Source organism: Homo sapiens, chromosome 16 (genome assembly GCF_000001405.40).
Source record: "Homo sapiens chromosome 16, GRCh38.p14 Primary Assembly".
NCBI lineage: Eukaryota > Metazoa > Chordata > Mammalia > Primates > Hominidae > Homo > Homo sapiens.
Window position 1 is genome coordinate 29,805,820 of NC_000016.10, and position 19,998 is coordinate 29,825,817.

Here is a 19,998-nt window from a genome sequence, read left to right on the forward strand (position 1 = left end):
CGTCTCAGGGGTCTCGCGCTCGGGGCGACTCGGGCTGCTGGGTGGCTCCCCCGTCCCTCCTCCCGCCAGAGTCCCTCTCGCGCCTGCCCCTCCCGCTGGCCACGCGCGCGCTCGCGCTAGCGCTCGCGCCCGCTCCAGCCTCTTGTGTGTCCTCGCGCCCCCCGCCCGCCCTCCCCGCGCGTAGTGTGCTCCGCTTCCCCCACCCTCCACCTCCCCCCTCCTGCCCGCCCCGCGCGCCTCCTCCCGGGTTCCCCCTCCCCCACCGCCGCCGCCTCCTCCTCCCGCCCCAGGGTGAGCGCGAGCCACCTCCCTCCCTCCCTCCGCCATGGATCCCAGCAACTGGAGCAGCTTCATCTTCCAGGTAACAACTCCCTCCCCCCGCCCCCACCCCCCTGCCCACACCCCCTCCTGCCCGCCCTCCCTCCCGTCCCACCCCCCCTCCGCGCGCCCGGTGCGCGCGCAGCTGTCCCCCTCCCTCCCTCGCGCCCTCCCCCGCCCTCCCCGAGGCGCCGGCTGGGCGCGCGCGCGGCGGGGGCCGAGGCTGCTCCCTCGCTCCCCCCACCCCGCCCCGCCAGGCTCCAACCGCCGCCGCCGCCGCCGCCGCCGCCCGGGCCCCCGCCCCCGGCCCCGGCCCCGCGGGGCCTCCCGCCCCCACCCAGGGGGCGTCGCCGCCGCCGTCGCCGCGGCGCTCCGCGGCCCGCAAGGCGCCCTCTTTTCCTCCCTCCCGCCGGCCGGGGTGCGCGGGCGGCGGGGCGGCCCGCGGGCCATGCGTTCGGCGCGGCCCAGCCCGGCCGGCCGGGGGCGGCGCCCCGAGCCCGGGCCCCGCGCGGCCCGCGCCCCCGGCCCCCGCTGAGCCCCGGGGGCCCCGCTGCGGCCGAGGCCATGTTCCCGGTGTTTCCTTGCACGCTGCTGGCCCCCCCCTTCCCCGTGCTGGGCCTGGACTCCCGGGGGGTGGGCGGCCTCATGAACTCCTTCCCGCCACCTCAGGGTCACGCCCAGAACCCCCTGCAGGTCGGGGCTGAGCTCCAGTCCCGCTTCTTTGCCTCCCAGGGCTGCGCCCAGAGTCCATTCCAGGTGAGTAGGGCCGGCCGCGGCGGCCCGGGCTGGGGGGGGACGCCCGCCCGCACCCGCGGCCCACTCGGCGCCTTGTCTCCGCAGGCCGCGCCGGCGCCCCCGCCCACGCCCCAGGCCCCGGCGGCCGAGCCCCTCCAGGTGGACTTGCTCCCGGTGCTCGCCGCCGCCCAGGAGTCCGCCGCGGCTGCTGCGGCCGCTGCCGCCGCTGCTGCCGCCGTCGCTGCCGCGCCCCCGGCCCCTGCCGCCGCCTCTACGGTGGACACAGCGGCCCTGAAGCAGCCTCCGGCGCCCCCTCCGCCACCCCCGCCAGTGTCGGCGCCCGCGGCCGAGGCCGCGCCCCCCGCCTCCGCCGCCACTATCGCCGCGGCGGCGGCCACCGCCGTCGTAGCCCCAACCTCGACGGTCGCCGTGGCCCCGGTCGCGTCTGCCTTGGAGAAGAAGACAAAGAGCAAGGGGCCCTACATCTGCGCTCTGTGCGCCAAGGAGTTCAAGAACGGCTACAATCTCCGGAGGCACGAAGCCATCCACACGGGAGCCAAGGCCGGCCGGGTCCCCTCGGGTGCTATGAAGATGCCGACCATGGTGCCCCTGAGCCTCCTGAGCGTGCCCCAGCTGAGCGGAGCCGGCGGGGGAGGGGGAGAGGCGGGTGCCGGCGGCGGCGCTGCCGCAGTGGCCGCCGGTGGCGTGGTGACCACGACCGCCTCGGGGAAGCGCATCCGGAAGAACCATGCCTGCGAGATGTGTGGCAAGGCCTTCCGCGACGTCTACCACCTGAACCGACACAAGCTGTCGCACTCGGACGAGAAGCCCTACCAGTGCCCGGTGTGCCAGCAGCGCTTCAAGCGCAAGGACCGCATGAGCTACCACGTGCGCTCACATGACGGCGCTGTGCACAAGCCCTACAACTGCTCCCACTGTGGCAAGAGCTTCTCCCGGTGTGCACGGGGCCTCGGCCGCCCGCTAGGCCGTGGGGAGGGAGGGACGCGACGGAGGTGGCCTGGCCGTGGCTGGCGGGGAGGGAGGCGGCTGCTGAGGCTGGGGAAGGGGAGCCACTCCCAGGGCGGAGGGAGGAAGCCTCTCCCGGTTACCAGGGAGCAAGGGGTGGTCCTTTGTCGAGGAGGTGGGCCTTGGGGTTGACGGAAGCTTCGCGTGGGAGGAGGCGGCGGCGGCGGCAGCGGCTGCTGGGCTCCAGGGGAGGGATTTCCTGCTTAAGTGTCGCTGTGACGGCCTGGGCTCCGGGAGGAGGCGCAGGGATCCTCGGAAAGGCCTGTGGTGCGGTTTGGTGGATTTGGGGCGCACCACCTCCGCCCTAACCCCAACCCCAACGTGTCCCCAGGCCGGATCACCTCAACAGTCACGTCAGACAAGTGCACTCAACAGAACGGCCCTTCAAATGTGAGGTAGGAAGCCCGCCTCCTCCTGTCTTGGTTTTCATGATTTTGATCCTCATGGTAGCTGTCTGAGTCAGTCTCTCAGACCCCCTTTTTCTCTCTCTTCTTTTTGCCTTTTTGCTCCATTTTCTCATCCCTTCTTCAAGGCCTCATCATGTCACTCCCATTTCCTACAGATCAAAGATCCCCAAGGCTCTGATTCCTTTAATCTCTTGCTCCCCCCTCCCCAGCCCACCAAGCTTTAACTCTCCTGTGACACCCCCCACGCCCCTCCCCCCTCCTCAGAAATGTGAGGCAGCTTTCGCCACGAAGGATCGGCTGCGGGCGCACACAGTACGACACGAGGAGAAAGTGCCATGTCACGTGTGTGGCAAGATGCTGAGCTCGGCTTATATTTCGGACCACATGAAGGTGCACAGCCAGGGTCCTCACCATGTCTGTGAGCTCTGCAACAAAGGTACATGCCGAGGGCTGCCGGGAGGGCCAGGGGCAGAGGGTGGGCGCCTGGCCAGACGCCTTGCCACGGATACGGGTTAAGGGTGCTGTAGCCAAGAGCTCGTGGCGTCTAGATTCCTACAAGAGGTCAAGGGAGCAGCGGGGGGACACCTGAATGAACATCATTAGACTCTAAGAAGTCCTGGTTGGAAGAGATGATCTGCCAGAGAGGTTGAACCTCCTGGTAATGTGTGGGGAAAGCGGGAGTGGAACTTGGCTGCTCTGGGGAAGGAGTAGTCAAGAAAGCCAGTTCCAGGGGTCACAAGGCAAGGTTTCCGCTGCGCAGCCACAAGGTCTTGTCTCCAGCTCCTGGGGCAGGTGGAGTACACGGGCCGGGCTTTACCAGCACGCACCCTGCACGGGTAGCAGAGAAAGCTGCCTTCAGTCAGACTCACCGGTTAACTGGGTTGAGACCGCGGGGCACTGGAGGGAAGGGGACACAGCCGTCTCTGCTGAGGGTCAACCCTGCAAGTGGCTAGGAGTCAGTGTCTCGTCATCCTGGGAGAGGTCTCCCGGCCATGGAGAATGAGTTCTGTAGGTACCAAGGCTGAGAAGCGGGCACCACACAAGCCAGGCCCCAGGCTCAGGGAGGGGCTGTGTCTACCAGCCCCAACAGAGCAGTTGGCCCCAGGCTACCAAGGATACCGTGGGAGGAGGACAGGGCCATCTGAGGAGGGCATCCCCCGCCTAGGAGATCAGCCCCGTCTCTGGGGTCTCCGCCTGGCTGACCCCCGCCCCATCCCAATCCACCCCCCAATAGGCTTCACCACGGCAGCATACCTGCGCATCCACGCGGTGAAGGACCACGGGCTCCAGGCCCCGCGGGCTGACCGCATCCTGTGCAAGCTGTGCAGCGTGCACTGCAAGACCCCTGCCCAGCTGGCCGGCCACATGCAGACCCATCTGGGGGGGGCCGCCCCCCCTGTCCCGGGAGACGCCCCCCAGCCACAGCCCACCTGCTGAGGGGGACCCCCGCACCCACCAGGCAAGGCGTGGGGCATGGCTGGGGGGCGGGATGGGGGGTGTGGGGGACAACGGGGCTCAAAGGGCCCAATAGGGGATCTCAGGAAGGCGAGGGATGCCCATGTACCACTCAGGCTAGGGAGACTTCTGGGCACAGGGAGGATCCTTGAGAACTGCTCTGTCTGGGTGAGGATGCAGGCTGAGGCCTCTGGGGTCCAGATAGGAAGTGAGCAACGGCTGTGTCCCAGGGGAAGCAGGCTGGGAAGGTGTGGGGTGAGGGCAAGGCTCTTGCCATTCAGATCGCGCTGTGATCCGTGGTGTTTCTCCTGTGCAGGTACTGGTGAGGTTTGTCCAATGGCGGCGGCAGCGGCAGCGGCGGCAGCGGCAGCAGCGGCAGCAGTAGCAGCCCCTCCCACAGCTGTGGGCTCCCTCTCGGGGGCGGAGGGGGTGCCTGTGAGCTCTCAGCCACTTCCCTCCCAACCCTGGTGAGCTCCAAGTTGGTTGCGGGGGAGAGGGGAGAATGGAGTAGAGTCCCTTGGTACAAGCTCCTCTCCCCCCTCTTTTCCCACCAACTCCTATTTCCCTACCAACCAAGGAGCCTCCAGAAGGAAAGGAGGAAGAAATGTTTTCTTAGGGGAATTCGCTAGGTTTTAACGATTTGTTTCTCCTGCTCCTCTTCTGTCAGACCTGACCCCACACAAACCTGTCCCCTCGGTTGTGTTGAAGTCCCCTGGACAGTGGGCAGGGGTGGCAGAGGACACGAGCAGCCACTGCCCGTACCCCCTCTCCTCTCTGTAAGCCCATGCCCTGTCTTCCCAGGGACTTGTGAGCCTCTTCCCTCGACGGTCCTCTTCTCTCCTTCCAGTCCTCTCCCCCTGCTGTCTGCAGCCCCTCCCCGGGGAGTTGGTGCTTTCTTTTCCTTTTTTTTTTTTTTCCAGGGGGAGGGAGGAGAGGAAGGAGGGGGATCAGAGCTGTCCCAAAGAGGGAAAGCGGTGAGGTTTGAGGAGGGGCAGAAGCAGGGCCGGCAAAGGTTGTACCTTCATAAGGTGGTATGGGGGGTTGGGGTCAGGCCCTGAACATCGTCCTACTTGAGAATCTGTCAGGGGAAAAAGTCAAGGGGAGCAGGAGGAAGAGCCAGGAGGGCCAGAGGCAGAGAAGAGATGGAGTCTTAGGGGCCAGGGTGAGCGAGGGGTCCAGGGCCTAGAGGTGCTTCCTGGGGGCGGGGGAATGCAGCCAGTGTCCCCCTCCCCTCTTCCACCCCAGCTCCAGCCCTGGTCTTGTCTTTTCATCCCTCTTCCCCACGACAGAAGAAGTTGTGGCCCTGGCCATGTCATCGTGTTCCTGTGTCCCCTGCATGTACCCCACCCTCCACCCCTTCCTTTTGCGCGGACCCCATTACAATAAATTTTAAATAAAATCCTGTTTCTGGCTCTGGATTGAATGAATTGCCCTCACTAAGAACTGCCGCCAACCCCAAGGGTTTCTTCTCGGCCTGGTGTCCGTCAATCCAGCCTTGCTCTGCCCTGTGAGGCTGTGAGGTTCTGGCTCCGCCCTCCCCAGGGGCAGCCTTACTGGCGGCAGCACAGATACAGGGCGGGGCCAAGGCTGTGGCTGTGGAGAGCAAGTTCCAGGTCTCTGGGGAATTCCCAACTCGGACAGGCCCAGAATAGCCCCTGGAGGTTTGAAGAGGCCCCGTCAGAAACCCAAACAGAGCTGCCAGACGGGAATGCCGCCCTCCCCCGTCCACACTCATGGCCGCTGCTCAGCCCCCAGCCGCATCCCTCCCCACGCGCGTCACGGCCCTGAGGCCATGGTGGGTGGATGCGGCTGCGGAAAGGCTGGGGAGTCCGAGCCCTAGGACTGGGAGCAGCGAGGTAGAGAATGAAAGCTGCACCTGTCCCTCATCCTGGGCATGGGCCACTCTGTGTTTACACGGGCTCCTCTGCCCAGCTCCTCCTGCCCCTTGGAATTCCCTTTCCTGTCCCCGCTCCGTCCTTTCCAGGGCCCCTTTTTTGAGCCTTCCAGCGCCAGTTTCTGCCGCTCCTTTCTGCAGGCTCCATTCTCTCCAAACCCCACCCTGCTCCTCCTCTGCAGCCTCCCCGCGTCTTGCCCCATCTTCCTTGCCCTCCTGCTCGTAGAGACGCCTCCACCCGGTCCTGCCTGTCTCACTGGTCCCGTCTCCTCGCAGAACCCTCTCCGTTTCCCCCAAATCCCCGTCTCTTCCAGGAATCCCGGTGACCGTTGGCGGGAGGGGCCGGGGACTTAAGAAGGAGGCGTCTCTCCTGGAGGCGCGCGTGAGAAGGGGCAGGGAGGGGGCGCGAGTGGTCCCCGGGCCGGTTGCCTGGGTAACGCGTGGCTCCCTTGGGCTGGCGGGAGGGGCCGGAGGCTCGCGAGGGGCGGGGGCGGCGACGGCGGCGGAGCGTAGGGGAGGGGACCGGAGAGGAGGGGATGAGCACACGGGAGAGGAGAAGAGGGAGACCCGCCGCCTCCCTCCCTCCCTAGCTGACTTGCTCCCTCCCGGGCTGCGGCTGCTGCAAAAGCCAGCAGCGGCAGCGGGAGCTGTCCGGAGGCCGGCGTCGAGGTGAGACCCGGGCAGACTGAGGCTGCGGGTAGGAGTGGACCGACCGACGGCTGACGCCGGGCGGACTGCACGGGAATGCGGGTGTCTGGAGGGCTGGTGGTGGTGCTGGGCGGGCTGAACCATCGGGAGGAGGCGCCAGCCCACCGAAGGCGAGGGAAGCCCCGGGAGAGGGGCTGACAGGGGATCGAAGGAGATAACCAGGTCCCCCAGAAAGGGGCGGGAGCGTCCTCGCCCTAAACGCGCAGCAAGAAAACCCGCACCGCCTGGGAGCCCAGGGAGGAGGGGAGGATGCAGAGGGAGTGGAATGCGAATGTCGGGTCCTCTGCCCAGTCGGCCTGTCGGAGTGCTATTTGCACAGCTCGTTGATTTTGGGGTGCTGGGATCTGAGAGTCTGGATCTTGTTGGATGGACCCAGGGAGAGACCCTGGAGAAGGTCCTGTTTACAAAAGGGTTAATCTTCCCCAGGGCTCTCCAAGCAGAAGACTTTGAGTAGAGCACTCCTCCCGCAGGGATGTCCCACCCTAAGGCAAAGGAAACCCCAACTTTTCTTCCTCTCCCTAGAGGCAGTGCAAGGCTGGCCCTGAGACAGGAATGTGGCCCAATTGGGCCTGCAGTGCTGAGCGCCCTCTTCCCTCCTCACCCCAAGCCTATCTCCTCCTCTTCCAGGGTTTGCCGCTGTCTCTGCTATTCCATCCTCCCCATAGGGGCTCTCTCCCCTCTCCCATCTCAAGATGGCAGCCAGCAGCTCTGAGATCTCTGAGATGAAGGGGGTTGAGGAGAGTCCCAAGGTTCCAGGCGAAGGGCCTGGCCATTCTGAAGCTGAAACTGGCCCTCCCCAGGTCCTAGCAGGGGTACCAGACCAGCCAGAGGCCCCGCAGCCAGGTCCAAACACCACTGCGGCCCCTGTGGACTCAGGGCCCAAGGCTGGGCTGGCTCCAGAAACCACAGAGACCCCGGCTGGGGCCTCAGAAACAGCCCAGGCCACAGACCTCAGCTTAAGCCCAGGAGGGGAATCAAAGGCCAACTGCAGCCCCGAAGACCCATGCCAAGAAACAGTGTCCAAACCAGAAGTGAGCAAAGAGGCCACTGCAGACCAGGGGTCCAGGCTGGAGTCTGCAGCCCCACCTGAACCAGCCCCAGAGCCTGCTCCCCAACCAGACCCCCGGCCAGATTCCCAGCCTACCCCCAAGCCAGCCCTTCAACCAGAGCTCCCTACCCAGGAGGACCCCACCCCTGAGATTCTGTCTGAGAGTGTAGGGGAAAAGCAAGAGAATGGGGCAGTGGTGCCCCTGCAGGCTGGTGATGGGGAAGAGGGCCCAGCCCCTGAGCCTCACTCACCACCCTCAAAAAAATCCCCCCCAGCCAATGGGGCCCCCCCCCGAGTGCTGCAGCAGCTGGTTGAGGAGGATCGAATGAGAAGGGCACACAGTGGGCATCCAGGATCTCCCCGAGGTAGCCTGAGCCGCCACCCCAGCTCCCAGTTGGCAGGTCCTGGGGTGGAGGGGGGTGAAGGCACCCAGAAACCTCGGGACTACATCATCCTTGCCATCCTGTCCTGCTTCTGCCCCATGTGGCCTGTCAACATCGTGGCCTTCGCTTATGCTGTCATGGTGAGCCCCATGGGACCCTAGCCCAGGCCTGCTGTGGCTCCCAGCTTCCCGCCAGCGCTGCAATAGAGCCTCTGGAGTAATCATGCCTTCCTTCCCCTCTCCTCTCTGCATGGATCCCACCTCCCCAATTCCAGGGCCTTTGTTTGCCTCTCCCTAGGACCTAACCCTCTGAGCCACCACTGCCCTGCCCCTTTGGGTGGGAGGGATATGGAAACACGTGTCACACAGCCTCGCTGACCTGTGCCCTCCTCCCCCTGCCCCTTCACTCCTCCTTCCTCCCTTACCCGCCATCTATGGGGCTGGCCTCTCTCTCTTCTGGATGACTTTTCCACCTGATCCCTTCTGGGCTGGCTTCTCCTGACCCCGGCTATGTGCCTCCACCCCTCGCCCTAACCCCAGTCCCGGAACAGCCTGCAGCAGGGGGACGTGGACGGGGCCCAGCGTCTGGGCCGGGTAGCCAAGCTCTTAAGCATCGTGGCGCTGGTGGGGGGAGTCCTCATCATCATCGCCTCCTGCGTCATCAACTTAGGCGGTGAGTGGGGGCTTGGGACAGGCAGGGGAGGAATGGAAGGGTTGGCAAGGGCAGCTTTACTAACCCCTGCCCCTGCTCTCTCCTGTCTGTCCTCCTTACCTCTCCTTTGTCTCTCCTTGTCTCCCCCTCCCCCCGTCTGTCCTTCCCTCTCCTCTCCCACAGTGTATAAGTGAGGGGCTCTGCCCCGCATCCCAAGACTTTTCTTCCTGTTGGGAGCTGCCTTGGGCCCATCCCTCCCCTGGGGGGAGCCCAACTGATGGCCCTGGCCCCCACCCCTAAGGACCAAGGGAGCCTGAGCGGCCTTGTTTACAGCTTCTGTCCTGCTCCTGCATCTTGCCAGGCTCCTCTGCCAACTGTAGGCCTGCCTCATCCCTGCACTGGTTCCAACCTCCCTGCACTAATGCCTGCATCCCCTCCGGCCTCTTGGCCCCCTATCCCTGCACTTCTGGAAACCTCCCTGCACTCTGGAAACCTCCCTGAACACCTCCCCAACTCTGCGCTCTCAGCCTCCCTGCATCTCTCCTGGCCTCCCTGCACTTCTTCCAGCCCCCCAAATTCTCTGGACCTCCACCCTGGCCGCCTCCTCCCAACTTTCATTGTCTTGGCATCTCTCAACCCTCAGTCCTCTCTTCCTTCCCTTCTTTATCATCTCCCCTTTCCTCTCCACGTCCCGCCCCCTTCCTCTTCCTGCCTCCTCATCTCCCTTAAGCATCCTCTTCTCCAACCTCCCGTCACCGTTTACTCTGCAAAATTGACAGCACTTAGACGAGGCTTGGGGGCAGGGAGCAGTGTTGGGAGAGGGCTCCCCAACCCCAGGCTCGGACTGTTCTCTGCTGGGACCACCCAGGGTCGGACACCCAAGGGTGCCTGGCAGGTCGCAGAGTTGGCAAGCCGGGCCTCGTATGGGGACTCGGGTGAGGGTGGCGAGTACTGGTTCCGAACGCACGCAGGGGAGAAGGGAGGGACGCGGCGCTGACCCTTCCAGGTCAGCTGGAGTTGACCCGCCCACCTGGGCTTTTCAACCCCAGTCCGCGAGTTTCTTTCTTGAAGGTGTGGGGGCTAGATTCATTCACGTGCTTCGTAATGAAATAATCCAAAAAATAGGACCAAAGCGCCCACTGGCAGGAGCGAGGGCGGGGCGCCGCGCTCTATAATTATTTTCTAAGATGATGGGGGAGGTTTGTTGCACGCGACAGCCCGCTGAGGAGGCGGGGACCGAGCTACAACGCGGTTCGGATTTGGCGGGGGTTTTTTTCCTTAAAAAAAAAAAAAAAAAAAAAAAAAAAGTCTGGGGGAAGAAAAAAACTAAAATTCTTAAAAAAAAAAAAAAAAGGCTATTATCAAACTGATTTCTCCCTTTTTGTATGCCGGATGCTGCATGAGTCTGAAACACCAATAAACGGAGACTGCATGAGACTCGCCTCCAATCTCGGTTGGTTCCTGCGTTCGTCCCGCCGGCCCGGCGGTGCTGCCTTTCTGGCAGAACCTTACTGGGTGGTATACGCATGCGACTTCCCGGTGGCCATCTTTACTGTGGGCTGAAGCCTGTGCGCTTACTCGCGCATGTGCAAGCCTTCCCTCGCTTTCCTCTTCCAAGTAGCCTTGCCTAGAGCGGAGCCTCCCGCGCCATTTCTGTGCGCCTGCGTAGCGTGACCCTGCGCAGCCTGGGAGGCGGGTCTTAGCTCCAGGTGCGTACGGCATCTGACTTGACGTGGCCCACAACTGAAAGGTCTGGGGAGAAGGCGCCGTGTCCGGGTGTGGAGAGGGGCGTCGTGGAAGCGAGAAGAGTGGCCCGTCCCTCTCCTCCCCCTTTCCCTCTTTCGGAAAGTGGTTTCTGCGGGGCCCGGGAGCCTCGGAGTACCGAACCTCGATCTCCGGGGCGGGGTCCTTGGTGGGGACTGAGCGCCCCCTCCCGGGGACGGGCGGTCTGGCCGCGGAGTCCCCTGCGGGAGCGTGATTGGCTGGAAACGGTCCCGAACCCCCAGGGGAGCCCGATCCCTGGGGGACCCTGGCTTCGGACTCCAGTATCTGTCGTCGCAGGGTCCCTGCCCTAGTGGCCTATGTCCCTTGCTCGGGGCCATGGAGACACTGCGGCCAGTACGGCGGCGCCTCTGTCTGAAGAAGGGGAAGTGACCTCCGGCCTCCAGGCTCTGGCCGTGGAGGATACCGGAGGCCCCTCTGCCTCGGCCGGTAAGGCCGAGGACGAGGGGGAAGGAGGCCGAGAGGAGACCGAGCGTGAGGGGTCCGGGGGCGAGGAGGCGCAGGGAGAAGTCCCCAGCGCTGGGGGAGAAGAGCCTGCCGAGGAGGACTCCGAGGACTGGTGCGTGCCCTGCAGCGACGAGGAGGTGGAGCTGCCTGCGGATGGGCAGCCCTGGATGCCCCCGCCCTCCGAAATCCAGCGGCTCTATGAACTGCTGGCTGCCCACGGTACTCTGGAGCTGCAAGCCGAGATCCTGCCCCGCCGGCCTCCCACGCCGGAGGCCCAGAGCGAAGAGGAGAGATCCGATGAGGAGCCGGAGGCCAAAGAAGAGGAAGAGGAAAAGTAAAGGCACACCCTTACACCTTGTCCCGGGGCTGCTCCCCTGATGGCGGGAGGAAATAGGGAGGGGAAAATGTGGGACGCTGGAACCTTTGAAAGTGGAGGGAGGGAAGCCAGCGGGGGAGGAGGAACGGGCAGGGGAGAAGCACACGTGTGGGTGGGAGGGAGGACCGCCCTCACCCTTAACTATGTTCACCTGTCCCAGACCACACATGCCCACGGAATTTGATTTTGATGATGAGCCAGTGACACCAAAGGACTCCCTGATTGACCGGAGACGCACCCCAGGTACAAACGAAGAGGAAACAGTTGGGGGAGGTGAAGGGCCTCGGCTCAGTTACCCAAGATCGGCTCCCCTAGAGGCCTTTGCTTGCTGCCTCAGCTCCCACACAACTTACAGCTGCAGGAGAGAGTATTCACCCAGTAGCACCATCTTTATGACTTAGATTACTACCTTGTCTTCCTTTTTTTTTTTTTTTTTTTTTTGAGATGGAGTCTTGCCCTTGTCCCCCAGGCTGGAGTGCAATGGCACGATCTCAACTCACTGCAACCTCCGCCTCCTGGGTTCAAGCAATTCTCCTGCCTCAGCCTCCCAAGTAGCTGGGATTACAGACGCATGCCACCACTCTGGGCCAATTTTTGTATTTTTAGTAGAGACAGGCTTTCACCATGTTGGCCAGGCTGGTCTTGAATTCCTGACCTTGTGATCCGCCCACCTCAGCCTCCCAAAGTGCTAGGATTGCAGGCATGAGCCAATGCGCCTGGCCCCTTGTCTTCCTTTAAGAGACAATTATAATACAAAAAATTAGCCGGGCATAGTGGCGGGCACCTGTAGTCCCAGCTACTCAGGAGGCTGAGGCAGGAGAATCGCTTGAGCCTGGGAGGTGGAGGTTGCAGTGACCTGAGATCACACCACTGCACTCCAGCCTGGGCGAGAGAGTGAGACTCCGTCTCAAAAAACACAATTACAGATAATTCTTTTTTTAAAAAAACAACTAGTCATTGATTCTGGAAAATTACAGATAATTCTATCATGTTTCCCATTCCCAGAAGTCCAAGTCCTGGCCTTTCAATATTATCTAGATCTGCATCCCTCTACTACCATGTACATTCTTTAATCACACCGCTGGCCCCATTTCCCACCCCACATGCCTTCCTAGAATTTACCCTCAGAGTCATGCCTTTCCTTTTTTCTTTTTTTTGAGGGGTGGAGAGACAGAGTCTTGCTGTGTTGCCCAGACTGGTTGGTCTCGAACTCTTGAGCTCAAGTGATCCATCCGCCTCGGTTCTCAAAGTGCTGAGATTACAGGCATGAGTCACTGCACCCAGCCTAGAGCCATTCTTGATTTCTCTCTCTTTTACCTGAACATTCACACCAGCAGCAAGTCTTGGTAGCTATAAGATGTACATTTCCAAGTACCTCTGCTAGTCTCCACTTTCAATACCACATCCCCATCCAAGCCACTGTCTTTCTTGCCTGGATAGTTGTAGTAGCTCCTAACTGGGCTCTCTGCTTCCAGCTTCTGCAATTCAGATGAACCTTTTAAAACATAAATCATATCACTTTTTTTTTCTTTGAGACGAAGTCTTTCTCTTGCTCAGGCTGGAGTGCAGTGGCATGATCTTGGCTCACTGCAATCTCCACCTCCTGGGTTGAAGCGATTCTCCTACCTCAGTCTCCTGAGTAGCTGGGATTACAAGGACACGTCACCACGCCTAGCTAATTTTTGTATTTTCTAGTAGAGAGGGGGTTTCGCCATGTTGGCGAGGCTGGTCTTGAACTCCTGACCTAAAGCTTCCCAAAGTGCCTGCCTCAGCTTCCCAAAGTGCTGGAATTACAGGCGTGAGCTGCTGCACTCAGCCATAAATCGTGTCACTTTTCCACTTAAAATTTTCCAAGGGATTCCATCTTGCCAGGGAAGAGCATGTCAAAGGAGAATCCAAGCGCTTTTCCCGCCACCTCCAGTTCTCTGCACTCTTTTTTTTGTTTTTGTTTTTGGCGAGTAGGGGAGACGGAGTGTAGCTGTGTCACCGAGGCTGGAGTGCAGTAGTGCGATCTTGGCTCATTGCAACCTCCACCTCCCGGGTTCAAGCGATTCTTCTGCCTCAGCCTCCCAAGTAGCTGGGATTACAGGCGCCCACCACCACGCCCAGCTAATTTTTTGTGTTGGCCAGGCTGGTCTCAAACTCCTGACCTCGTGAGTTGCCCACCTCAGCCTCCCAAAGTGCTGGCATTACAAGCGTGAACCACCATGCCCGGCCTGCACTCTTCTTTGAACAGAACTCTGTTCTTGTCCTGGGGCCTCTACCCTTGCCATTCCCCTGCCCAGTATGTTCCTCCCTGTTCTTCACATTACCTGTGCCTTCCTGTCAATCAAGATCTTTGCTTCTCACCCTCTCTGAGGTCCAACCCTGAACCTCAGGTCCTCCAAGACAGAGGCCTGGGGACCTGCATGTTTAACCAGCTCCCCAAGTGATGAGTGAGGTCCAGGCAGGTATGGTGTACACCACCTCCATCCCTTCCATGTATCTTACCTTCCTCTTCTCCAGGAAGCTCAGCCCGGAGCCAGAAACGGGAGGCCCGCCTGGACAAGGTGCTGTCGGACATGAAGAGACACAAGAAGCTGGAGGAGCAGATCCTTCGTACCGGGAGGGACCTCTTCAGCCTGGACTCGGAGGACCCCAGCCCCGCCAGCCCCCCACTCCGATCCTCCGGGAGTAGTCTCTTCCCTCGGCAGCGGAAATACTGATTCCCACTGCTCCTGCCTCTAGGGTGCAGTGTCCGTACCTGCTGGAGCCTGGGCCCTCCTTCCCCAGCCCAGACATTGAGAAACTTGGGAAGAAGAGAGAAACCTCAAGCTCCCAAACAGCACGTTGCGGGAAAGAGGAAGAGAGAGTGTGAGTGTGTGTGTGTGTTTTTTCTATTGAACACCTGTAGAGTGTGTGTGTGTGTTTTCTATTGAACACCTATAGAGAGAGTGTGTGTGTTTTCTATTGAACATCTATATAGAGAGAGTGTGTGAGTGTGTGTTTTCTATTGAACACCTATTCAGAGACCTGGACTGAATTTTCTGAGTCTGAAATAAAAGATGCAGAGCTATCATCTCTTAAAAGGAGGGGCTGTAGCTGTAGCTCAACAGTTAGGCCCCACTTGAAGGGAGAGGCAGAATTGTACTCACCCAGATTGGAAAATGAAAGCCAGATGGGTAGAGGTGCCCTCAGTTAGCACCTGTCCCATCTCGGGCCCTCCAACTCCTCCCAGTCCCACTCCAGTGCAGCCAGCTGGCTCCAAGGTAGAAACCCATGAGCACTCAGGGAGCAGTGTGCCTTCAGCTGCAGCAGAAGCAGCCCGGAGGATAAAATGAGAACCAGCTGCACACGGGCCCTTTAACTCCCAAGCCCCACCCCTGGGCTTGGCCTGCCTTGCCCTGCCGGGAAGTGATCCCCAAGGCAGGGTGAGAGTTCCCCATCTGAGGCGTTTGTTGCAGCTACCTGCACTTCTAGATGTGAGTACATTGTACTAGCCCCCCAAACCCCAAATCAGGGGCAGATCTTTGTATCCCTTGAGGCTCTCTTTAGTCCTGTCTTGCTTTGAAGGGCCTTGCTTCTGCTGGGGCAGGGAAAACATGTCTGAATCAGAGTGGGGAAGGAGGATGGGTGGTGGCTTTGCTTTTGGAGGTTTCACTTTCCAATAGTTGGGAGTCTTCTGGGTTTTGAAGTAAAGGCAGATTAACACCAACACCGGTCCCCCACCCCCCTGCAACTCTCAGGCCTCTCTCTGACTTCAGGGTCCCACCTGGGAAATCAGGTGGGGAACCTTACAGGGTCATTCAGACCCCATCTTAGCCCTAGATCGGTGCTTGCTCTACTCACCTGCACTGTCCTGGGGACCTGGGCTCTGGCCTGTCACCTTGAGCTCCAAGAATGTGACCTGTACCCATTCAGGCCCCTTAACTCTGACAGATGAGGGTTTCTTACTCCTCCATGCAGGGCTGGGCCAGCTGTTGGTCTCAGTCGATCATTCAGGAAGTCATTAGCAGAGTGATTTCCAGAAGGCGTAGAATTTAGTGACCAAGGTTCTTTCCTTTTTGGGAGGAGAAAGTGAAAACTAGGATGCTCAGCTGGACCCACCAGCCTGAGATTCTGGGGATTTTAGAGCTGTCCCTTGGGGAGCCAAGCACTTGGGGGTGGAGGTGATAGCGAGGCTGATGGCCCCTGTGTTCTCAGCTCTCTGCCTGGGTAGCCCCTGGGTGATGGGGGAGAGGCCAGCTGTCACGTGGGGTATCAGGTGGCTCTGCCAGAAACTCCCTTGGCACACAGAGCACTGGGTCGGCCCTCGGGTGTGGCTGTTTGGGCAGGACAGCCCTCTGTATGTAGCCTTGAGCAGGTAGGGGGGCCACCTTGAGTGGGTGGCCCAGAGACAGCCTCAGGGCTCCAAGGTAACGGGGTGCTCAGGTTATCTTGGGTGCTGCCCTCCCAGGTTCTGGGGGAGCAGAGGCTGGGCGCTGGCCCAACTTACAGGAAACACTCACCTTTGAACTGCCATTAGCACCATCTGGGCAGTACACAGCCCCACCCAGGTCCTCTAGTTCTTGTTCTCGGCTTAGAATCTTTGTGTTTCTGCCTGAGAAGCCACTGCCTCCTAGTTTGTGGTCTCTACAGTTATAGCCAGGTTGGACTTCCGGCTCCGTCCTTTGATAACTGTGTGCTCTTGGGCAAATTTCTTAACTTGCAGGTTCTTGTGAGGATAACATGAGTTAATTGAGGGCACTTAACACTACCTGGCACAGATTAAGCTCATCTGAAGTGGGAGCTGTTACTTAGGGGCGTTTGCCTAGAACACAGGGTCCAGAGGCTCTCTCCCGGAAACTTAGACCCAGTGAGTCAGAAGTGAGGCCTGCAAAAAGCAGCAGGAGTGGGGTTAAGAATTCCAGCCTAGGGCTGGATGCGGTGGCTCAGGCCTGTAATCCCAGTACTTTGGGAGGCCCGAATGGGAGGATGGCTTGAGGCCAGGAGTTCCAGACCAGCCTGAGCAACATAGCGAGACCCTGTCTCTGTTTGTGTGTGTGTGGTTGGGGTTTTGTTTTTTTTTTTTTTTTAAAGAATTATAGCTCAGTCCTATGATTAGGCAAGTTGAGAAAATATTGATGAAGATCAGGGGTGCTGAAGCCTGGTTCCTGGGGTCGCTTCTGATCTAGGCGGTTCTTGCCTCTGGTGACTGGTGTTAATTGGCAGGAGTGGGAGGAGGGAGGACAAGTGGAAGTCTAGGCTGGCTGAGCTGTTCTGTCTCGAAAAGTTCCTAAAACTGTGCTGCTTTAAAAAAAAAAAAAGTAATTTATGAGACACATTCTCAATTTCCATTAATCATCTCCTAAAGGGGGTAAACCAGGAAGCCGCTGGGTGAAAACAGGCTGTTGGCAATTCCTGAGTCATGTGACCCATTCTCTAAAGACTAGAATATTTAACTTAAATCAGTGAGAAACTCTGTGAAGTTGTGTCCTTGTTTATACCAAACTTCATGTGCCTTTTCCTGAACCTGAAGCTGTGGGAAGGTCTGGGGGCAGGGCCGCATCACCGACCTTACGTCCAACCTCAGGACTGCCTGGAGCAAGAGCCCTGGGGTTGGGGACAAAGGAGGCTGCCTGGACCTGGGTAAGGGAAGGGGCTGGAGGAGAATGAGTGCAATTCCCTGCCCTTCACAGCCTGCAATCGGAGCTGTGTTTTTGTTTTTGAGACAGAGTCTCGCTCTGTCCCCCAGGCCAGAGTACAATGGCGCAATCTCGACTCACTGCAACCTCTGCATCCCTGGTTCAAGCAATTCTCCTGCCTCAGCCTCCCGAGTAGCTGAGACTACAGTTGCCTGCCACCATGTACGGCTAATTTTTGTATTTTTAGTAGAGACGAAGTTTCACCATGTTGGCCAGGCTGGTCTCGAACTCCTGAGCTCAGGCAATCCGCCTGCCTTGGCCTCCCAAAGTGCTGGGATTACAGCCACTGCGCCCGGCCTGAAACTGATCTTTATCCTCCTCCCAGTTCCTACTGTGCACCAGAGACCCTCCAGTCTCTAATACCTTTGACTTGAAGAGCAGTCATTTTTTTTTCCTTTTCTTTTCTTTTCTTTTTTTTTTTTTTTTTTTTGAGATGGCCTCACTCTTGCCCAGGCTAGAGCGCACTCGTGTGCTCCATTTACGGCTCACTGCAGCCTTGACCTCCCAGGCACAGGCGATCCTCCCACCTCAGCCTCCAAAGTAGCAGGGACCACAGGTGTGCACCACCACACCTAGCTAATATTTTTTATGGTTTTTATAGAGACAGGGTCTCCCTATGTTGCCCAGGCTGGTCTTGAACTCCTGGCCTCAAGTGATCCTCCCATCTTGGTCTCCCAAAGTGCTGGGATTACAGGTGGGAGCCACCAAGCCTAGTCAACAGTCACTTTTATTCTCACTTCACTGGAGAGGAAGGCTCAGAGGCTAGTAAGTGGCCCAGGAGCATGCTGGCAGTGATAAAACCTGCTGGAGTGACATTTTCCCACTGGCTCTCAATCCTGGATATATATTAAGAGTCAGAGGCCAGGCGCGGTGGCTCACGCCTGTAATCCCAGCACTTTGGGAGGCCAAGGCAGGCGGATCACGAGGTTAGGAGATCAAGACCATCCTGGCTAACACAGTGAAACCCCATCTCTACTAAAAATACAAAAAAAATTAGCTAGGCGTGGTGGTGGGTGCCTGTAATCCCAGCTGAGGCAGGAGAATGGCATGAACCCGGGAGGCGGAGCTGCAGTGATCCGAGATCGTGCCACTGCACTCCAGCCTGGGTGACAGAGCGAGACTCGTCTCAGAAAAAAAAAAAAAAAATGAGGGAGAACTTTTTACAATAGCAACGGGTGAACCTCACCCAGACCAATTAAATAGAATCACCGGAGATGGGTGGCTTTAAAAAAAGGTCTCCAGAAGGCCTGGCGCGGCAGATCACACCTGTTATCCTAGCCCTTTGGGAGGCCGAGGTGGGTGGATCACTTCCAGCCTGACCAACATGGCGAAACCCTGTCCACTAAAAACAAAATTATCTGGGTGTGGTGGCGGACATCTGTAATCCCAGCTACTTGGGAGGCTGAAGCAGGAGAATTGCTTGAACTCGGGAGGCAGAGGTTGCAGTGAGCCGAGATGGCTACACTCCAGTCTGGGCAACAAGCACGAAACTCCATCTCAAAAAAAAAAAAAAAAAAAAAAAAAAAAAACAGATTTCCAGATGACCAGTGTGCAGCCCGAGCCGAGAGTCTGCTTTAGACCAGAGCTGCTCAGACTGTAATGTGCATGCAAGTCATTGAGGGTCGAGTTAAAATGCCAGTAGATTCAGTGGCTCTGGGGTGGGGCCCCAGGCTGTGTTGCTATCAAGCCTCCAGGTGGTACCACTCTACTCACTGCAGACCCCGTAGGCAGTGTGGTCACTTGGTCAATTGCCATTTAAGACTCACTAGGGGCCAGGTGTGGTGGTTCACGCCTGTAATCCTAGCACTTTGGGAGGCTGAGGCAGGCAGATTGCCTGAGCTCAGGAGTTTGAGACCACCCTGGGGTGAAACCCCATCTCTACTAAAATACAAAAAATTAGCCAGGCTTGGTGGCATGTGCCTGTAATTCCAGCTACTCGGGAGGCTGAGGCACGAGAATTGCTTGAACCTGGGAGGTAGGTGGACGTTGCAGTGAGCCGAGATTGTGCCACTTCACTCCAGCCTGGGCTACAGTCTCCAAAAAAAACAAAAAAGAGATTCAGTATATCAGCTACTCACAGTTGACCCTGAAGATCTCTGGGAAGTAGTGACTCATGACTCGTTTATTTATTAAGTTTTGCTGTAGCAGAAGTTTACTTTTGAGCCAAGAGTCTGATCCGGTCTCCCTCTTTTTTTTTTTTTTCTTTCTTTAAAGAGATGGGGCCTTGCTATGTTGCCCAAGCTGGTCTTGAACTCCTGGCCTCAATCCATCCTCCCACCTTCGGCCTCCCAAAGTGTTGGGATTACAGGTGTGAGCCACCTCTCTCAGGCAAGAGCCCCTCTTTTAACTAGACAATGAACCTGGTTTCTGCTTTGGACAGGCTATTTAGTTCCTGCTTATTTACCCTCATGGTGGGAGAGACCCTGGTGGGATTTGGGGTGAAAGCTGGCTGTGGTTCTTGCAGGAGCCTCATGACACCTGAGGGAGGTGTGATCAGGCAAGACTGGGCCTCTACACTGAGAGCCGACTAGGGCAGGTCTCAGAAGCAGAGACTGAAGGAAGTTGGGTGGATGAGTGGATCTGGGGAGCAGGGGCCAAGCCTGAGGGCTGGGCAGAGCCTTCCAAAGGTCAACACAATCCTTGCTATTGTCTTTTGAGGGCCCTGATCTATTTTAAGTAAAATGCTCTAACTGCGCATGTCATCTGGAAGGAAACCACAAAAAACTCAATCTGAGACTTGTCACCAATGTGCTGCCTGAGTCAAAGGGTTTCCCTGGCTCACCTCCATAGATGGCGAGGGTAGAAGGCAAGACCTGTCCTGGGTGGTCTAGGCAGAAGGCCCAGGTTTAGGGCATGGCAGGTGGGTGGTCAGGGAGGTGAGGTGGGGTCCTGGTGCTGATGCAGGGGCAGTTGCCGAGGGCTTGGCCTCAGAACAAGGCAGGAGTCCAGCCATGAGGATGACTCTTGCTGAGTCACTGAGCTGGGCGAGGCATTCAGACCCCCTGACTGGGCCCAGCTGGGGCGGCAGATGGTGGAGAGGCCTCAGCTGTGGGGGGTGTTGGGGAGATTATCCACTGATGAACCAAATGGAGGCTGTTCCCAGAG

General features: G+C 59.0%; 4 protein-coding genes and 1 long non-coding RNA gene across 20 annotated transcripts in view, besides 17 other annotated features; 4 read left to right on the forward strand and 1 right to left on the reverse strand.

Moving 5' to 3' along the window:
* Positions 1-340: a silencer, noted in NCBI's record as "silent region_7335". NCBI's record gives its function as "represses an Ori minimal core promoter by ATAC-STARR-seq in GM12878 lymphoblastoid cells {active_cell/tissue: GM12878}" and the evidence as "EXISTENCE:reporter gene assay evidence [ECO:0000049][PMID:35858748]".
* MAZ (MYC associated zinc finger protein) lies at positions 305-5,345 on the forward strand. Of its 8 annotated transcripts, none has more exons than NM_001276275.2 (6): positions 305-361; positions 988-1,074; positions 1,159-2,009; positions 2,411-2,474; positions 2,751-2,922; positions 4,258-5,345. In NM_001276275.2, the coding sequence occupies exons 1-6, from the start codon at positions 326-328 to the stop codon at positions 4,410-4,412; spliced, it is 1,365 nt and encodes a 454-aa protein (NP_001263204.1). In that variant the 5' UTR covers positions 305-325; the 3' UTR covers positions 4,413-5,345. The 8 variants fall into 8 exon arrangements, 7 of the variants coding, with proteins under 7 accessions (NP_001263204.1, XP_047290067.1, NP_001036004.1 ...); XM_047434111.1 differs by lacking the exon at positions 4,258-5,345 and adding an exon at positions 3,721-3,944; NM_001042539.3 differs by lacking the exon at positions 305-361 and adding an exon at positions 3,721-3,945 and having other exon boundaries at positions 710-1,074.
* Positions 471-610: a silencer, noted in NCBI's record as "silent region_7336". NCBI's record gives its function as "represses an Ori minimal core promoter by ATAC-STARR-seq in GM12878 lymphoblastoid cells {active_cell/tissue: GM12878}" and the evidence as "EXISTENCE:reporter gene assay evidence [ECO:0000049][PMID:35858748]".
* Positions 1,511-2,180: a silencer, noted in NCBI's record as "silent region_7337". NCBI's record gives its function as "represses an Ori minimal core promoter by ATAC-STARR-seq in GM12878 lymphoblastoid cells {active_cell/tissue: GM12878}" and the evidence as "EXISTENCE:reporter gene assay evidence [ECO:0000049][PMID:35858748]".
* Positions 2,261-2,500: an enhancer, noted in NCBI's record as "active region_10677". NCBI's record gives its function as "activates an Ori minimal core promoter by ATAC-STARR-seq in GM12878 lymphoblastoid cells {active_cell/tissue: GM12878}" and the evidence as "EXISTENCE:reporter gene assay evidence [ECO:0000049][PMID:35858748]".
* On the reverse strand, positions 2,825-14,548 carry MVP-DT (MVP divergent transcript). The gene is made up of 4 exons (NR_186424.1): positions 14,365-14,548; positions 13,721-13,782; positions 4,216-4,354; positions 2,825-3,314 (listed from the first exon to the last, which is right to left on the reverse strand). It is a non-coding gene; the product is annotated as an MVP divergent transcript (long non-coding RNA).
* Positions 5,747-5,826: a silencer, noted in NCBI's record as "silent region_7338". NCBI's record gives its function as "represses an Ori minimal core promoter by ATAC-STARR-seq in GM12878 lymphoblastoid cells {active_cell/tissue: GM12878}" and the evidence as "EXISTENCE:reporter gene assay evidence [ECO:0000049][PMID:35858748]".
* Positions 6,227-6,376: a silencer, noted in NCBI's record as "silent region_7339". NCBI's record gives its function as "represses an Ori minimal core promoter by ATAC-STARR-seq in GM12878 lymphoblastoid cells {active_cell/tissue: GM12878}" and the evidence as "EXISTENCE:reporter gene assay evidence [ECO:0000049][PMID:35858748]".
* On the forward strand, positions 6,374-10,062 carry PRRT2 (proline rich transmembrane protein 2). Of its 8 annotated transcripts, none has more exons than NM_001438120.1 (4): positions 6,374-6,532; positions 7,171-8,114; positions 8,514-8,646; positions 8,809-10,062. In NM_001438120.1, exons 2-4 carry the CDS (start codon positions 7,236-7,238, stop codon positions 8,817-8,819), a joined length of 1,023 nt encoding a protein of 340 aa, NP_001425049.1. In that variant the 5' UTR covers positions 6,374-6,532; positions 7,171-7,235; the 3' UTR covers positions 8,820-10,062. The 8 variants fall into 8 exon arrangements, with proteins under 8 accessions (NP_001425049.1, NP_660282.2, XP_016878378.1 ...); NM_145239.3 differs by having other exon boundaries at positions 6,374-6,504; XM_017022889.3 differs by having other exon boundaries at positions 6,374-6,504; positions 10,018-10,062.
* Positions 9,043-9,672: an enhancer, noted in NCBI's record as "H3K4me1 hESC enhancer chr16:29826183-29826812 (GRCh37/hg19 assembly coordinates)". NCBI's record gives its function as "activates a minimal SCP1, AML or CMV promoter by ChIP-STARR-seq in naive H9 embryonic stem cells {active_cell/tissue: H9 hESC(naive)}" and the evidence as "EXISTENCE:reporter gene assay evidence [ECO:0000049][PMID:30033119]".
* Positions 9,043-9,784: a biological region, named in NCBI's record as "H3K4me1 hESC enhancer GRCh37_chr16:29826183-29826812".
* Positions 9,565-9,784: an enhancer, noted in NCBI's record as "active region_10678". NCBI's record gives its function as "activates an Ori minimal core promoter by ATAC-STARR-seq in GM12878 lymphoblastoid cells {active_cell/tissue: GM12878}" and the evidence as "EXISTENCE:reporter gene assay evidence [ECO:0000049][PMID:35858748]".
* Positions 10,035-10,284: an enhancer, noted in NCBI's record as "active region_10679". NCBI's record gives its function as "activates an Ori minimal core promoter by ATAC-STARR-seq in GM12878 lymphoblastoid cells {active_cell/tissue: GM12878}" and the evidence as "EXISTENCE:reporter gene assay evidence [ECO:0000049][PMID:35858748]".
* Positions 10,333-16,670, forward strand: PAGR1 (PAXIP1 associated glutamate rich protein 1). Its single transcript, NM_024516.4, has 3 exons — positions 10,333-11,188; positions 11,391-11,473; positions 13,736-16,670. The coding sequence occupies exons 1-3, from the start codon at positions 10,707-10,709 to the stop codon at positions 13,933-13,935; spliced, it is 765 nt and encodes a 254-aa protein (NP_078792.1). The 5' UTR covers positions 10,333-10,706; the 3' UTR covers positions 13,936-16,670.
* Positions 10,475-10,644: a silencer, noted in NCBI's record as "silent region_7340". NCBI's record gives its function as "represses an Ori minimal core promoter by ATAC-STARR-seq in GM12878 lymphoblastoid cells {active_cell/tissue: GM12878}" and the evidence as "EXISTENCE:reporter gene assay evidence [ECO:0000049][PMID:35858748]".
* Positions 14,287-14,356: an enhancer, noted in NCBI's record as "active region_10680". NCBI's record gives its function as "activates an Ori minimal core promoter by ATAC-STARR-seq in GM12878 lymphoblastoid cells {active_cell/tissue: GM12878}" and the evidence as "EXISTENCE:reporter gene assay evidence [ECO:0000049][PMID:35858748]".
* The window catches only part of MVP (major vault protein), a 27,646-nt gene continuing 22,222 nt past the window's right edge, over positions 14,575-19,998 (forward strand). The window contains exon 1 of one of the 2 annotated variants that reach the window (NM_017458.3): positions 14,575-14,691. The gene's annotated coding sequence lies outside the window, so the exon portion shown is untranslated. The remainder of the gene's footprint in view (positions 14,692-19,998) is intronic. The other variant, NM_005115.5, reaches the window with a different exon arrangement.
* Positions 15,048-15,614: an enhancer, noted in NCBI's record as "H3K27ac-H3K4me1 hESC enhancer chr16:29832188-29832754 (GRCh37/hg19 assembly coordinates)". NCBI's record gives its function as "activates a minimal SCP1, AML or CMV promoter by ChIP-STARR-seq in naive H9 embryonic stem cells {active_cell/tissue: H9 hESC(naive)}" and the evidence as "EXISTENCE:reporter gene assay evidence [ECO:0000049][PMID:30033119]".
* Positions 15,077-15,366: an enhancer, noted in NCBI's record as "active region_10681". NCBI's record gives its function as "activates an Ori minimal core promoter by ATAC-STARR-seq in GM12878 lymphoblastoid cells {active_cell/tissue: GM12878}" and the evidence as "EXISTENCE:reporter gene assay evidence [ECO:0000049][PMID:35858748]".
* Positions 19,309-19,388: an enhancer, noted in NCBI's record as "active region_10682". NCBI's record gives its function as "activates an Ori minimal core promoter by ATAC-STARR-seq in GM12878 lymphoblastoid cells {active_cell/tissue: GM12878}" and the evidence as "EXISTENCE:reporter gene assay evidence [ECO:0000049][PMID:35858748]".
* Positions 19,449-19,578: an enhancer, noted in NCBI's record as "active region_10683". NCBI's record gives its function as "activates an Ori minimal core promoter by ATAC-STARR-seq in GM12878 lymphoblastoid cells {active_cell/tissue: GM12878}" and the evidence as "EXISTENCE:reporter gene assay evidence [ECO:0000049][PMID:35858748]".
* Positions 19,765-19,998: part of an enhancer, noted in NCBI's record as "H3K27ac-H3K4me1 hESC enhancer chr16:29836905-29837477 (GRCh37/hg19 assembly coordinates)", that runs on past the window's edge. NCBI's record gives its function as "activates a minimal SCP1, AML or CMV promoter by ChIP-STARR-seq in primed H9 embryonic stem cells {active_cell/tissue: H9 hESC(primed)}" and the evidence as "EXISTENCE:reporter gene assay evidence [ECO:0000049][PMID:30033119]".